The sequence below is a fragment of the Homo sapiens genome, unplaced genomic scaffold, assembly GCF_000001405.40.
Source record: "Homo sapiens unplaced genomic scaffold, GRCh38.p14 Primary Assembly HSCHRUN_RANDOM_CTG16".
In the NCBI taxonomy this organism is placed as follows: Eukaryota; Metazoa; Chordata; class Mammalia; order Primates; family Hominidae; genus Homo; species Homo sapiens.
The window spans coordinates 47,791-65,330 of NT_167218.1; the positions used below are offsets into that span (position 1 = coordinate 47,791).

The 17,540-nt window shown below is 39.8% G+C and overlaps 1 long non-coding RNA gene across 1 annotated transcript; it reads left to right on the forward strand.

The window, feature by feature from the left end:
- Positions 1–419: 419 nt before the first annotated feature.
- Positions 420–8,609, forward strand: LOC100287610 (uncharacterized). Its single transcript, XR_007068527.1, has 5 exons — positions 420–563; positions 1,142–1,240; positions 3,243–3,358; positions 3,602–3,694; positions 5,632–8,609. It is a non-coding gene; the product is annotated as an uncharacterized LOC100287610 (long non-coding RNA).
- The last annotated feature ends 8,931 nt before the right edge of the window (positions 8,610–17,540 follow it).

Genomic DNA, 17,540 nt, shown 5'->3' on the forward strand with positions numbered 1-17,540 from the left:
AGCAGTGTTCTGGAATACTGTGTAAGGGACAAACATTCAGACCTCAGGAGCAGCGTTTTGGTATCGTATGTGAGGGACAAACACGCAGACCCCAGCTGCCATGTTCTGGAATGCTATGATTGGGTTTATACTGTGAACCTCAGAAGTGTTCCTCTGTTTAATTAATTTTCTGCCTTAGGTGGAACATGACTAGAATGGGCTACAGTGGAAGGGGTAATTCCCTTCCCCTAGGTTATTTAGTCTCTGATTATACTAGAGCAGATTAGGCTGAAGTTAAGTAGTTTCTCCTGTGGACAAGCCTTGTTAAGAACCAGGTACTCTGGCACATTTCAAACTGGTTTTCCTTTTTCCTTCCCAAAGGTAGAAGCAGGAGGGGAGTTTTCTCAGGTATTTGTCACAGGAGCCTGGTGAAGCCCCATGAGACAATTTTACAGTATTGTTCCCCCTCCCCCCACAATAACTCTATCTCTTTGTAGTTTTTACCACTTAGAGTTGTCCACGCGGATCCTCCAGCCGTTCACCAGTTACGGTTTGAGTTTTTCTACTCCAGCACTGGTTCCAAGGTTGGTTTCAGTAGTGAGTCCATGTTCCTGTAAGCCATTAAGTCCTATATTCATTTCTCTGTCTCTGCAATCCTGGGGGAAGTGGTTTGCCCTGTGTCCTCCCCTGAGATTCAAATCTAGAAACAATTGTGGATTTTTTAGTCTCTTCAGCTTTTTATTTGTTGTTAAGATTAATTGTGTCATATTAATTTGTTGTTAAGCTTGTTATAAAAATTAATTATTGTAAAGTAATTATTGATTACCTCCAAGCTTCTTACATGCAGAAATAGGAACCTGGAATGTGTTTCTAAAACTATCTTCTCAATGCCTATGTGCACAGTTAAAGGATTTTTTTCCACAGGAATATGGTCATGATGAATTATATTAGACTTCTTAATATTGAACTTTTCTTTATTCGTGGAATAAACTCAGAAAGTTCCTTCTTGGTCTTCACAGTCTATTTCTCTTCCTCTGTAAATGTTAGTGTTTCTGTAGATTCTGTACTTGTTTCTTTTATTCTTTCCTTCTCTTATTTTCATTTGGTCTCATGGATTCAGGTACCATTGAAATTCTGGTAATTTCCAAATCTTTATCTTTAGTTTTGATCTCTCTTCTGAACCACTGGAGCCATATTCCCAATTGCCAGTTGAACATTCCCACATATGGAACCTCAGATGCTTCACACATGATATGTCCAGGTTTGTGTCACTTCTGGTTATCATATTCTTTTATTTCTTTGCAAATTTCACTTCACAACACAAGTACCAAACTAGCTGGATCAGGGCAGATAACTTGGAAACAAAACTCCCCTTTTTACCCACTGCACAGCAAATTGGACCAAATCCTGTTTCTACATTTTTTTCCTTTTAAGAACTGCTTCCCTATTGTGTATTCTTACACTCCGTGTCCTGATGTACTGATGTAGGTGGTCATCTGTCTTCCTCTTTACTCCCTTCTGGCTTTCCCTTAAGCCCTTTCCCATTCTCTTTCTCAGGGATGGCTGTTAAAATGCCAATATGGTCATGTAACTTTTCTGTCCTTACTGGACCTCCTTATTTACACCTGCTTGTGAAGTGGCTGTGTTCACCCTGGGTGGATACAGCAATTTTTTGTCCTGTAGGAAGGAAATTTTGAAATGCCAGTGTATATGATTTTAATTAAGTATACTCACCCTTTTGTATCCATGGGTTTTGCATCTGCGGATTCAGCCAACTTCAGATTGAAAATATTCCCACAAAAATAGATGGTTGTCTCTGTGCAGAGCATCTACAGAAATTTTTCTTGTCATTATTTCCTAAACAGTGAAATATAACACCCATTTATGTAGCATTACATTGTCTTCAGTATTATATGTAATCTAAAGATTTAAAGTTCAGTCGTGCATGGCTTACTGATGGGATTACTTTCTGAGAAATGCATCTTTAGGTAATTTCATTGTTTTGTGAACATCATAGTGTTACAAAAACCTACATGGTATGTATATTTTTATTTATATGTTTTTGGAATATGGGTAACCAGATGGCTCAGAGCCATTATTGAATATCATTTTCTGCACTTCATCTGCAATGCCAATATCAGGTTTCTGTGTATGTTTCATCATCATCTTATGGGACTATTTTGATATACATGTTTCATCATTGGCTGAAATGTTATTATGCAGCTCATGACTGTATACAGGATGATGTACATAAGTTATATGTAAATATGAGACTTGTTTATATAAGAGAGTTATCCAATCTGTGGATTTTGGTATCTGGGTCTATCTTGGAATCAGTCCCCTTGGATACTGAGGAAGTAATGTAATGTAAAAATGATAGGTGCATAAAAATTTTTGAAATTAGGTCAAATATTTAAATGCAGAATCACTGCATAATCAATTCCTTAAATATTGCATTTAGCTTTCATCACTGACCAGGATCATTCATCTAGGCATGGTGCTGTCCAGAGTTCCATTAAAGTAGTGTGTGTTCTCTTTGCCTTTGTCAGTAGACTTCTGATACTTTCTCATAGTCATGAGAATTCATGGTTCATGTGGAAGAGCCAAACACCTGATTTTTCAGTAAAGTGGAACCTCATGATGCAAAAGAAACAAAATTTATTTTCTCCTTCTCTCTTATCTTAGTCTGCATTGAACTTGTGTCTCAATGAGTTCACCTAAACATTATTCCCAGTATGTGTTTATACTTATATATTCATAACCAAATCATGAGCTCCTTTGAGGAGTAGAATTTTATTCCTCTTTTTTTTTTTGAGAGATAGGCTCTCTGTTGGCCAGGCTGGAGTGCAGTGGTGTGATCATCACTCACTGCACTGTCAAACTCCTGGGCTTGAGCAATCCTTCAGCCTCAGCTTACAGAGTAGCCAGGACTACAGGCATCCAGCATTATGCCTATTTTTTTTTCTTACTTTTGAAGAGAGAGGGTCTTGCATTTTGTTTATACTTTTATCCCTAGCAACAAGGGTGGTTCTAGATCTATAAGGTGAACTTTGTAATACAATTTTATTAATTCATAAGTTATTACAGTGGAAGCATATTTCTACTGTGATTACTCCTTCTCCCACCATAAACAGTACAAAACAAACTACGTCTTATCTAAAATACATATAAGACACATGGACACACAAAAGAGTGAATTCCCAGATTCTTGTTTTTTGACCCTGGGCTGATGCTTTGACTTGAGGAAATATGTGCCATTACAGGGGTTGGTGTCCTTTGAAGATGTGGCTCTGCACTTTACCTGGGAGGAGTGTCAGGACCTGGATGATGTTCAGAGGACCCTGTACAGGGACGTGATGGTGGAGACTGGTATCATTGGGTGAGTGAAACTTCCCAGTAACTCCCAGGAATGTGTTTTGTTGTTGGTAAATATAGAAACCCTTTTAAGGTATAATAATATTTACTTGTAGGATTCTGGTTGATGAAAAATGTGTCATTACTCTGTAATGAAATGTTCAAATTGGCTCCTTCATTACACAGTCCCTGAAGCCCAGCTCTTGTCATTCTGAAAAGGATTTGACTTAGTGATTTGACAAAGTATTCCATTGTTTCTCATTACCAGGGCATTGCATTACCAAACCTGAGATGATCTTCAAGCTAGAACAAGGAGCAGAGCCATGGATAGTAGAAGAAACCCCAAACCTGAGACTTTCAGGTCAGTCAGTGAATACTGGGGAGGGAGGCCTGGAGGAGTAATGCCCAGCAGATTTTGGTAGTGTTATCTTGTTTTCACCACTTTTTTCCCTAGGTCTTCGACCTGAAGACTGTTGGTCTGTATTAAATATCCATTATATAGTCCCCAGGGGTAACTCTCATGCATATATCCCAGTCTCTTATTTTTCTGAGTATCTTCTTCTATTTACCTCAAATCCAATCCCTGCCATCCTCTCTTTAGGCCTTTTTCTTTGCTATTTATTTTCTCTATTTCCCCCTTTTCCTCTATTCTGATGTAGTGTCTTAAAAAATTTTTTAGACATTCATGCATTTATTTATCCTTTGAATGTATCTTAGGCGATTTTTGAGAATCAGTCATTATAACAATGATGATGAAAATAGTGTTTCTTTTTAAGCTGTAGCTTTATTCTTCTTGTTTTATTTTTTATTAAACAGATGGTTCTCACTCTGTTTCTCAGACTCAAGTGCAGTGGCATGATTATAGTTCACTGTAACGATGAACTCCTGGGATCAAGTGTTCCTCACAGCCTAGCCTCCCAAGTAGGTAGGACTACAGGTGTGTGCCACCACACCTGGCTAATTTTTTATTGTTTGTGGAGATGAGGTCTTGTTCTATTGCCCAGGCTGGTCTCAAACTTCTGGCCTTAAATGATCCTTGTAGACTCCCACCCACACACACAAAAAAAATAGTAGCTGAGTATGGTGACATGGGTTTGTAATCCCAGTTTTTATACTTGGGAGGTTGAGGTGGAAGGATTGCTTGAGCTCAGGAGTTTGAAGCTTCAGTGAGCTATGATAGCAACACTGCACTCCAGCCTGGGTAACAGAGTAAGATCCTGTCTCAGAAAGAAATTATGAAACTGAGGAGAACCCATCATAGGGGCCTGGATAGGGGTGGTGCTGGACTTGGGAGGATAACCAGAAGATTCTCGGTCTCAAGTCCAAAGAAACCAATGATTTCCTGTTGAAGGGCTCAGATTTCTGTTTGAGAGTGGAGTTTGTAGTTATCATTTGAAGATGAGAAATGTACAGGAAACTTCATTTTTATATATAACTGTGTGACATCTGAAACTCCAAAACACAAAATAAAACCCTTCAAAAATGGTGAATTATCAAGCAGGGGTGTGTGAGTGGAGAGGGACAGAGCTGTTGATCTCAGAAGGAACCAGAAATACACTTTTCAAAGATGACGAGCACAGCCTGAGTTGCAGAACCAATCCTTCAGATCACCAGTATGGTTTTTTGACTGGAGGTTCTTTGCCTATTATGGTTCTGGGAAGCAGGAGATGTCATGTTTAAGTAGGAATTTGCCAGGATCTGTTTTTGTTTAACATGGGGAATAAGAGATTTTCTGCTTGGAAAACCTCCAGACACATTTAACCATTCTCAGGGAGGAGTGAAAAGTTAACATATAGGCAAAATCCTGTCTACAAGCTACTTCCATGCTTAGGAGACAGAAAAATGGCCATCTCCTGTACCTGCCAGTTGCTGACCCAAGAAAAACTGGCTATTTTCAAGGAATAATGATGAAAAAATAGCAACTACTAAAACAGCCACTATTGTTATATGAATAAATAGAAAAAAAAGAGAGAAAACAAATGACGGATAATGAGCACTTATTAAAACCTATGAGTAGGAAGTAGATGCATATTATTACCAAATAATTCTTTGTGAAATAAAAAAGAAAAGGAAAACTTCAAAATGCAAAGAAAAACTCAATTGAACATTAGAAAATATACTGATTTATTACATGATGTCAGAAGGAACAGGAACCATATGCATATAAAACCAATACCCATTATTAATTTTTATCAAATCTTACTCCACTGGGATAGGAAGTAATTTTTTTCACCTTTACACAAGCATTCTTTAAGACATGCTCCTGTGTGGTTCATGGATACGTTTTTCTCATTTCAGCTGTCCAGATCATTGATGACCTTATTGAAAGGAGCCATGAAAGTCATGATAGATTTTTCTGGAAAATTGTAATCACCAACAGCAACACATCAACTCAGGAGAGAGTTGAATTAGGAAAAACATTTAATTTGAACTCAAACCATGTTTTAAATCTGATTATAAATAATGGAAACAGTTCAGAAATGAAGCCTGGGCAGTTTAATGTCTGCCAGAACGTGCTTTTCCCTATTAAGCCTGGTGAGACACAGTCTGGAGAGAAACCTCATGTCCTTGATATAACCAGGAGATCCCACAGACGTCATGAACATCTTACTCAGCATCACAAGATTCAAACTCTGCTGCAGGCCTTTTCAATGTAATGAACAAGTGAAAACCTTCAACATGGAGGCAATGTTCTTTATACATAAGAGGGTTCATATAGGACAGACCGTTGGTAAATATAATGAATATGAGAAAGCCTGTAATAACTGAGCTATTATTGTCCAAGGGATAACTCAGGTAGGACAGCCAACTTGCTGTAGAAAGTCTGACTTCACCAAACATCAGCAAACACACACAGGAGAGAAACCCCATGAATGTGTTGAATGTGAGAAACCCTCCGTTAGCAAATCAGACCTTATGATACAGCACAAGATGCCTACTGAGGAAAAACCTTATGCCTGTAACTGGTGTGAAAAATTGTTCAGCTGTAAGTCTGGCCTCACTATCCATCAGAGAATTCACACAGGGGAAAAGCCCTATGGATGCAATGAATGTGGAAAAACCGTTTGCCATAAGTCATTCCTTACTTTACATCAGAGAACTCATACTGGGGAAAAACCATATGCATGTAACAAATGTGGAAAAACGTATAGCCACAAGTCATACCTTACAGTACATCACAGAACTCACACGGGAAAAACCCTATGAATGTAATGAATGTGGAAAATCCTTTTACTGTAAGTCATAAGTCATTTCTAACTATACGTCAGAGAACTCATGCTGGCAAAAAACCCTATGAATGTAATAAATGTGAGAAAACCTTTATCAATAAATTAAACCTTGGGATACACAAGAGAACTCACACAGGGGAAAGACCCTATGAATGTAATGAATGTGGAAAAACCTTTCGTCAGAAGTCAAATCTCAGCACCCATCAGGGAACACACACAGGGGAGAAACCTTACATATGAAATGAATGTGGAAAAACCTTTCATTGCAAGTCATTCCTCACCATACACCAGAGTACTCACACGGGGAGAAACCGTATGGATGTAACGAAAGTGGAAAAACTTTTTGTCAGAAATCATACCTTATTATACATCAGAGAACTCACACTGGGGAAAAGCTCTATGAATGTAATGAATGTGGAAAATCCTTTCATCAGAAGGCAAATATTCAGAAGCATCAAGGTATTCACACGGGGGAGAAACCCTATGAATGTAGCAAATGTGGAAAAACCTTCAGTCAGAAGTCAGTCCTCACTGTACATCATAGAACTCAGACTGGAGAAAAACCTTTCGAATGTAATCAGTGTGGGAAAACTTTTTGTTACAAGTCAAACCTCAATATGCATCAGGGAATTCACTCAGGAGAGAAACCCTGTGAATGTGATGAATGTAGGAAAACTTTTTACCATAAGGCAGTTCTCACCATACATCAGAGAACTCACACAGGTGAGAAGCCATTTGAATGTAAGAAAACCTTCTCTCAGAAGTCAAAACTCTTTGTACAGCACAGAACTCACACAGGGGAATAACACTTTAGTTATAATGAATGTAGGAAAACTTTCTCCCAGAAGCCAGGCCTCAGTATACATCAGAGAACACACACAGGAGAAAAACCTTATAAATGTAAGGAATGTGGGAAAACCTTTTGCCGGAAGTCACACCTCAGCAGGCATCAACAAACCCATATAGGAGAGAAATCTGATATAGCTGATGCAGGCTATGTATTCCCTCAAAATCACTTTTTTTTCCCTTGAACACACAACCTACACCTCTCCAGCTACTACTATAGATTTCTCCATGCTCAGTCTAGGAGAATATGGACACAAATGGTGACCATTACCTCCTGACCTACCAACAAGAAGGTTATAACCATGCTGTAACAGAAGTGCTATCATGCAGGCTTTCTTGTTCCCATTTTTACAGCACACTTCACACTTTAATGTCACAGATATGGCTGTTTTCCTAGAAGCTCATGTACCAACCTCTGCCAGCTTCAAACATTTCTTCTGCAACTTTCTCACCTCTCTTCTCCTCCATAGAATTGAAGAGAGTTAGGGCCTTTCTCAGGATTAGGCTTTGTCTCAAGGGAATTTTGGGGCTGGTTTGATCTTCTATGCAGACCACTCAGACTTTCTCTGTGTCAGTAAAAAATCTGGTTTTTTTTTAAATCATTCATGTGTTCACTGGAGTAGCACCTATAACTTCCTTCAAGAACTTTTTGTTTCCATTCACAACTTGGGTAGCTCATGCAAAAAGCTTATCTTTGGCCTGTCTTAGCTTCTAACATGCTTTCTTCACTAAGCTTGATGATTTCTACCTCTTGATTTGAAGTGACAGATGTGAACACTTCTTTTCACTTGAATACATAGTGGCCACTGCAGACTGGAGGGGCCTAATTTCATTGTTGTATCTTGGGGAACGGGGGGCTGGAAGAGAGAAATGGAGATAGGGAAATGACTAGCCAATGAAACAGTCAAACACAACACTTTTCCATCGTTTTTACTGTCTTCCATAGATTTCCACCACTCTGAGACAATTCCAATAGTAACATCAGAAATCACTGATCACAGATCATCATAACAGATGTGATAACTAAAATCTTTGAAAGATTGTGGGGATTGCCAAAACATGTGACACAGATGTGAAGTGAGCACACGGTGTGGAAAAATGGTGCTGATCAGACTTACTGAGCACTTTGTGGCCACAAATCTTTAATTTGTTAAAAAGGTGATGTTTCCAAGCTAAATAAAGTGAAGCTCGATAAAGTGAGGTGTGCCTCTATTTTGATGAGCTCTAGCAATTTGTCTTTTCACTGGTGCATTTAGACCATGACATTCAAAGTGATTATACAGTTGGGTTAATTTTGCCATATCATTTTCCATTCACTCCTATTGTTCTTTGTTCTTGGTTTGTCCTCCACTCTTTTTCTGCCTTTTATGGAGTTGATGATTTTATATGATTTTTGTTTCCTCTCATTGCTTTTTATTTTTTAATTGAGACAGCAGTCACCCAGGCTGGAGTGCAGTGGTGTGATCATGGCTCCCTGCAGCCTCAACCTCGTGGGTTCAAGTGATATTTCCACCTCAGCCTCCCAACTAGCTAGGACTACAAGTAAGTCATTAGCTAGGACTACAAGTATGCAATTAGCTAGAACTACAAGTATGCAATTAGCTAGGACTACAAGTATGCAATTAGCTAGGACTACCAGTACGCAATTAGCTAGGACTACAAGTATGCAATTAGCTAGGACTACAAGTATGCACCACAATACCTGGCCTTTTCTTTTTTGTAGGGACGGGGTCTCACTGTGTTGCTCAGGATAGTCTCTAACTCCTGGACTCAAGCCATCTTTCTACCTTGGCATGAGCCACTATACCTGGCCTGTTTTCTCTTTTTAGTATTTTTATACTTTGGTTTTTACTAGTTGCCCTGGAGTTTGCAGTATAGACTTGCAACAAATCCAAGTCCACCTTCAAATAACACTATACCAGTTCAGTTACTTTGACTGCCTTCTAAAAGAAATGTAATAGCTGTTTCTCTCATATTCCCATCTCTTGTGTTATTGTTGCCATTTGTTTCACTTATATGTAAGCATACATAGCCTTGTATATATTAAAGCATGTAATTGGCTGGGTGCCTTGGCTCATGCCTGTAATCCCAACACTTTGGGAGGCTGAGGCAGGTGGACTATGAGGTCAGAAGATAGAGACTCTCCTTGCTAACACAGTGAAACCCCATCTCTACTAAAATTACAAAAAATTAGCTGGACATGGTGGCACACGCATGTAGTCCCAGCTATTCAGGAGGCTGAGACAGGAGAATTTCTTGAACCAGAGAGGAGGTGGAGGTTGCAGTGGGCTGAGATTGCACCACTGCACTCCAGCCTGGGCGACAGAGCAAGACTCCATCTCAAAAAAAAAAAAAAGTATATAATTGCATACATTGTTATTATATACAAACTGTTATATGTTAGGTGAATTAAGAATAAAAAGTAAGCAGGTGGATACGGTGGCTCATGCCTGTAATCCCAGCACTTTGGGAGGCCAAGGAGGGCAGATCACAAGGTCAGGAGATGAAGACCATCCTAGCTAACATGGTGAAATCCTGTCTCTAATAAAAATACGAAAACAAAATTAGCCAGGCGTGGTGGTGGGTGCCTGTAGTCCCAGCTACTCGGGAGGCTGAGGCAGGAGAATGGCATGAACCTAGAAGGCAGAGCTTGCAGTGAGCCAAGATCACACTACTGCACTCCAGCCTGGGTGACAGAATGAGACTCCATCTCAAAAAAAAAAAAAAAAAAAAAAAAAAAAGGATTTTACCACCACTTATTCCTTCTCTAATGTTCTTTTTAAAATGTAGATTCAGGTGGGTGTAGTGGCTCACACCTGTAATCCCAGCACTTTGGGATGTTGAGATGGGTGGATCACGAGCTTAGGAGTTCAAGACCAGCCTGGCAAAGATGGTGAAACACTGTCTCTAATAAAAATACAAAAAAATTAGCCAGGCGTGGGGGAGGGCTCCTGTAATCCCAGCTACTTAGGAGGCGGAGGCAGAGAATTGCTTGAACCTCGGAGGCAGAGATTTCAGTGAGCCGAGATTGTGCCACTGTGCTCCAGCCTGGACAACACAGTGAAACTCAGTCTCAAAATAAATAAATAAAAGTAAATAAAGTGTAGATTCAGTTTTCAGATGCGTATCTTTTTTTTGTCTAGATAATGTTTAACATATTCTCACATGACACATTTGCTGATAACAAGTTTCCTCAATTATTGTTTGTCCAAGGAATGTTTTATTTCTCATTTACTTTTGAAAGAAGATCTCACAGGGCACTTAAATCTAAGTTCATTTTTTTTTCTCTCAGCATGCTTAATATTTCATTCCACTCTCTTTTTACTTTCATGGTTCTGAGATGTTGAATGCAATGCTTTTTTTATTTTTTTTTTTTTGAGACAGAGTCTTGCTCTGTCACCCAGGCTGGAGTGCAGTGGTGTAATCTCAGCTCACTGCAAGCTCTGCCTCCCGGATTCACACCATTCTCCTGCCTCAGCCTCTGGAGTAGTTAGGACTACAGGCTTCTGCCACCATGCCTGGCTAATTTTTTGTATTTTTAGTGGAGACGGGGTTTCACCATGTTAGCCAGGATGGTCTCGATCTCCTGACCTTGTGATCCACCCACCTTGGCCTCCCACAGTACTGGGATTAGAGGCATGAGCCACCAAGCCCGGCCTGAATGTGATTTTTGTTTGTCTGTAGGTTTCTTTGTTTCTCTTTCTTTGTTTCTTTGTTTCTCTATAGGTAGGATGTTGTCCACTCCACCTTTGCTCTGTTGGAGCTGCTGTTTTGTACAGTTGGAGAATAACATGCCTAGCTGTAGGTTTTTAGCATGTGTCCTGTCTGGTGCACTCTGAGCTTCCGATCTTTGATTTTGTGTCTGACATTAACAGTGGAAGTTGTCAGACATGACTGTTGCAGATGTTTCTTCTACTTCTCTCTCTTCTCCTTCTAGTATTCTCATCACTCTATGTTACACCTTTTCTAGCTGTCCTACAGTTCTTGGATATTATGTTCCATTGTTTTCAGTTTTTAAAGTTTCTTTCAATGTTTCCAGAGCTCAGAGACTCTTTCCTTTGTTGTGTTCAGTCTACTAGTAAGCCAATCAAAGACATTCTTCAGGTCTGTTGCAGTATTTTTTTATCTCTACTGTTTCTTTTTTGTTCTTTCCTTGGACTTCTGTCTCTCTGCTTACATTGCCTATCTGTTCTTGAATGCTGTCTCCTTTGTTCATCAGAGCCCTTAGCATACTACTCAGAGATATTTTTAAAAATCCCTGTCTGATAATTCCAGCATCATAGCTGTGTCTTGTTCTGATGATCTGTCACTTCAAATTGTGTTTTTTGCCTTTTAGTATGCCTTGTGCTTTTTCTTTATTCCTAGATATGGGATACCAGGTAAAAGGAACTACTGTAACAGTGCATCCTGTAATGATGGGAAGCTCTGGAGGGGAGGGGAAGCTGTCTTAGTCCATCCACCAGCATAACTTAGAGCAAGTAATTTGTAAACAACAGAAATTTGTTGTTCAGTTTGGAGGCTATAAAGTCCAAAGTCAAGGTTCCAAGAGATTCAGTGTTTGATGAGACCCATTCCTCATAGATGGTGCAAGCTATATGTCCTCTCATGTTGGAATGGACAAAGAAGCTTCCTTTGGCCTCTTTCATAAGTGCACTAATCCCAATCAGGATGACTTTGCCATTACCTTTCAAAGGCCCCACCCCTTAATTCTAGTGCATTGGAGACTTGGTTTCAACAGGCACATTTTGCAGGGTGTCGAGCAGGGAACAAATGTTCAGACCATAGCAGAAGTGTTCTGGACTCTTACGATTGGGCCTCATTGTTTAAGTGAGTCTCTGCTTTTGGACTATGAACTTCACATGTCTTTCTCTGTTTTTGTCTTCCCCTTTAGGGATGACTGGAGTAGGCTGGAGTTGGGTACTTCCCTTCCAGAAGGTCATTTAGGATCTGATTATATGAGAGCAAGTTAGGCTGAGGTTCAGTAATTTCTCCTGAGGACAAGTCTTGTTAAGAACAGGGTGCTCTGGCATATTTTAAGATGGTTTTCCTTTTTCCTTCCCAAAGTTGGAAGCAGGAAGCCAGTTTTCTCAGGTATTTGCCACAGGAGCCTGGTGAAGCTCCAGGAGGTAAATTTTACAATATTATGCTCCTTCATAACTGGATATCCCTGGCGTTTTTACCTCCTTGAGTTCTCCATAATGGAACCTTCAGCAATTCACCAGTTATAGTTCAAGATTTTCTACTCCAGCACTGGTTCCTAAGGTGGTTTCAGTAGTGAGTCTCTGTTCATGTAAGCCATAAATTCCTATATTCACTTCTCTATCTCTCCAATCTTGGGGGCAGTGGCTTGCCCTATGTCCTCTCTTCACATTCAAATCCAAAAAGGATTGTAGATTTTTCAGTCTCTTCAGCTTTTATTTGTTTTATTAAAAAAATTTTTTAAGAGTTGGGGGTCTCACTATGTTGCCCAGGCTGGTCTCAAACTCCTAGACTCAAGGGATCCTCCTGCTTTGGCCTCCCAAAGTGCTAGGATTATAGGCATGAGCCACCACACCTGATCTTTTCAGCTTTTCATGTGTTGTTAAGATGGACTGATTACTTGCATTCTTTTTTTTTTTTCCTTTTTTTGAGATGGAGTCTCACTTTGTTGCTCAGGCTGGAGTGCAGTGGTGCAATCTCAACTCACTGCAATATCTGGCTCCCAGGTTCAAGTGATTCTCCCTGCCTCAGCCTCCTGAGTATCTGGGATTACAGGCACCCACCACCATGCTGGCTAACTTTTATATTATTATTATTTTATTTTTTAATTTTTTGAGGCAGAGCTCACTCTGTCATCCAGGCTGTAGTGCAGTGGCTTGATCTTGGCTCACTGCAACCTCCAACTCCCAGGTTCAAGCAATTCTTCTGCCTCAGCCTCCCAAGTAGCTGGTACTACTGGCAAACACAACCACACTTTTCTAATTTTTGTATTTATAGTAGAGATGGGGTTTTGCTATGTTGGCCAGGTGGGTCTCAAACTCCTGACTTCAGGTGATCCACCCAACTCAAGCTTCCAAAGTGCTGGGGTTACAGGTGTGAGCCTCCATGCCCAGACTAATTTTTTTATTTTTAGTAGAGATGGGGGTTTGCCATGTTGACCAGGCTGGTCTTGAACTTCTGACTTCAGGTTATCTGCCCACCTTGGTCTCCCAAAGTGCTGGGATTACAGGCATGAGCCACTGCACCTGGCCACTTCTAAGCTTCTTACATGCAGAAATCAGAACCTGGAATCTGTTTCTATGACTTTTCTTCTTAATGCCTATGTGGACAATTAAAGGATTTTTCTTCTCAGGACTCTGAATATGATGAATTGTATTAGTAGACTTTCTAATATTGAGCTGTTCTTAATTTGTGAAATAAACTCAGAAAGTTCCTTCTTGGTCTTAACAGTTTATTTCTCTTTGTAAATATTAGGGATTCTGTGGATTCTGTACTTGTTCCTTTTTATCCTTTCATTCTCTTAGGTTCATTTGGTCTGATGGATTCAGGTACCATTGAAATTCTGATAGTTTCAAAATCTTTATCTCCAGCTTTGATATCTCTTGTGAACTCTGGAATTGTATTCCCAATTGCCAGTTGGACATCCCTACATATGGGACCTCAGATATTTCAAACATGATGTGTCCAAGTCTGTATCACTTCTGGCCATCCTATTGTTCTTTTATTTTTCCAAATTTCACATCACCAGTAACAAACTCACTGTGATCATGGCAGATAGCCTGGAAATAAAACTCCCCTTTTTACCCTCTGCACAGCAAACTGACATCAAATCCTGTTTCTACTTTTTTTCCTTTTAACTATTGCTTCCCTATTCTGTATTCTCACTGCTCCATCTTCTGATGTAGGAGGTCATCTGTCTTCCTCTTTTCCTCTCCTCTGACTCTTAAGCCCTTTCCTATTCTCTTTCTCATGAATGGCTGTTAAAATGCCAATATGGTCATGTAACTTTCTTGTACTTAATGAACCTCCTTATTTACACCATGTTTGTGAAGTGGCTGTATTCACCCTGGGTAGACACAGAATGTTTTTGGCATGTACAAAGAGAATTTTATGCTGCCTGTGTAGAGCTATTAATTTGTAAGTACACTCACCTTTTTGTATCTGTACTTTTAATATCTGTGTATGTAAACAAACTTGGATGCAAAATATTTGAAATAAAATCAGACGCTTGCATCTGTAGTGAACATATTCAGACTTTTTCTTGTCATTACTTCCTAAACAACACAACTATTTACATCCACATTGTATTTGGTCTTCTAAGTGTGAAAGGAAAATAAAGATTGGGACTCCAAACTCATTAAGCTAAAGGGAAAAATCAAGCTGGGAACTCACTCATGAAAACCTGCCTCCTCCTTTTGGTTCCTAAATAAGATGGCTACAAGATAAAAAGCTTTTTATCTTGTAGCCCCCCACTCATATTTTTCCCACAAGGAAATTTCTGGTGTACTTTAAGATCTTTAAAGTGTTTCTGTTAAAATTCATCATGGCAATGTAAATTCATAGCTTATCCTTTTTATTGTTTTTTTTGAGATGGAGTTTCACTATTGTCACCCAGGCTGGAGTGCAATGGCACAATCTCGGCTCACCGCAACCTCTGCCTCCCAGGTTCAAGTGATTCTCCTGCCTCAGCCTCCTGAGTAGCTGGGATTACAGGCATGCACCACCACACTTGGCTAATTTTGTATTTTTAGTAGAGATGGTGTTTCTCCATGTTGGTCAGGGTGGTCTCAAACTCCTGACCTCAGGTGATCCAGCCACCTCAGCCTCTTAGAGTGCTGGGATTACAGATGTGAGCTGCTGTGCCTGGTCTGATAGCTCATCTTTACAGTGCATAGGACAGAACTCAGAGTCATCCCTCTGCCCACCTGACACAAATGCATATCTGATTGTTCCCCTCCCTGTTTGTCTATGTTATGTATAAATGCAGATTCACTGAGACAAAGGCATGAATGACTGTATCAGTCTGTTCTCATACTGCTCTGAAGAAATACTCAAGACTGGGTCATTTATAAAGGAAAGAGGTTTAATTGACTCACAGCTCTGCATGACTGGGGAGGCCTCAGGAAACTTACAATAATGGCAGAGAGCACCTCTTCACGGGGGGCAGGAGAGACATTGAGTGCAAGCAGGGGAAAGGCCAGACACTTACAAAACCATCAGATCTCATGTGACTCATTATCATGAGAACAGCATAGAGGAAACTGCTTTGATGATCCAATTACTTCCACCCGGCCCCACCCTTGACACATGGGGATTATTACAATTTATGGTGAAATTTGGGTGGGGACACAGAGCCAAACCATATCAATGAATGTTTTCCCCCTACCCCAGTCTTACATGAAAACTGTATTTCTCAGTGTTTCACCCTTTCCCCTTTAAATTTGGAGCCCTCATAATCATTTTTAAAGAAAGGCATAGACTTGTCTCCTGGGTGTGCATCCTTAATGTTGGCAAATAAACCTCTTAAAATGATTGAGATTTGTCTCGGTCATGTTTCCTGATTGACCGAAGTGTTCCAGAGATGATATAAAGTACACTCATGCATGGCTTAATGACATGTGTATGTTCTGAGACATGCATTACTAAGCAACATTTTTGTTTTGTGAACATCATAAAGTGTGCTTACATAATCCTAGATGGTATATATGTTTATATTTTTTCTTATGAGAAATCATATGTTCTAACACCATCATTGAATATCAGTCACTTTCCCTACTTGATCTGCAGTGCTAGTATCAAGTCCCACATATCAGGTTTTATCGGGGGAACCAGCCCCCAATATTTCAACGTAGGTTCTTTCTATTTTCCTTAAGTGTTGGCTGGTCTGAGAAATAAAGGGTAAAAAGAAAGAAATTTTACAGCTTGGCCTCTGGGGGTGCCATCACATTGGACCATGATGGCGACCTTGAGCTGCAAAACCAGCCAGTTTTTATTAGGGATTTTGAAAGGGGAAGGGGTGCATGAACAGGGAGTAGGTCATAAGGATCACATGCTTCAAAGGGTCATAAAGATCACAAGGTGAAGGCAAAATTAGAACCACTGATGAGGGTCTGTGTCCCACTGTGCACACATTGTCTTGATAAACATCTTAACAGAAAACAAGGTTCAAGAGCAGAGACCAGTCTGACTAGAATTCACCAGGCTGGAATTTCCCAATCCTAGCAAGCCTGAGGGTACTGCAGGAGACCAGGGTGTATTTCAGTCCTTATTTCAACTGCATAAGACAGACACTCCCAGAACAGCCGTCTATAGACCTAACCCTGGGAATGCATTCCTTTCCCAGGGTATTAATTATTAATATTCCTTGCTGGGAAAAGAATTCAGTGATATTCTCTTACTCACACGTCCATCTATAGGCTCTGTGCAAGAAGAAAAATATGGCTGTATTCTGTCTGACCCCGCAGGCAGTCAGACCTTATGGTTATCTTCCCTCATTCCCTGAAAATTGCTGTTATTTTGTTCTTTTTCAGGGTGCACTGATTTCATATTGTTCAAACAACCATGTTTTACAATCAGATTTGATATTGTTTGAATACACATTTTACAAACAATTTGTACAGTTAATGCAATCATCACAGGGTCTTGAGGTGACATACATCCTCAGCTTACGAAGGTGATGGGATTAGATTAAAGTAAGACAGGGATAAGAAATCATAAAAGTATTAATTATAAAAGTATTAATAAATGTCCATGAAATCTTCCCAATTTATATTCTTCTGCCATGGTTCCCGCCAGTCCCTCCATTCGGGGTCTCTGACTTCCTGCAAGAAGGTTTCTATATGTGTTTATAATCTTAGGGGACCATGGTAATATACATGGTTCATTATTGATTAAAAGGTCATTATGAGGCACATGACTGCATGTGGAAGGATAAGCATGGGTTATATGCAAATATACCATTGTATATAAGAATTGAGCTTCAGTGGTTTTTGGTATCTGTGGGTGTATTTTGGAGCTGATTTCCCATGGATACTGAGGAACAACTGTACTTTGAAAATGAAAGGTGCATACATTTTTGTCATTAAAATTAGGTCAAATATTTAAATGCAGAATCATTGTATAATCAGTTCCTTCAAGACTGCATCTGTCTGT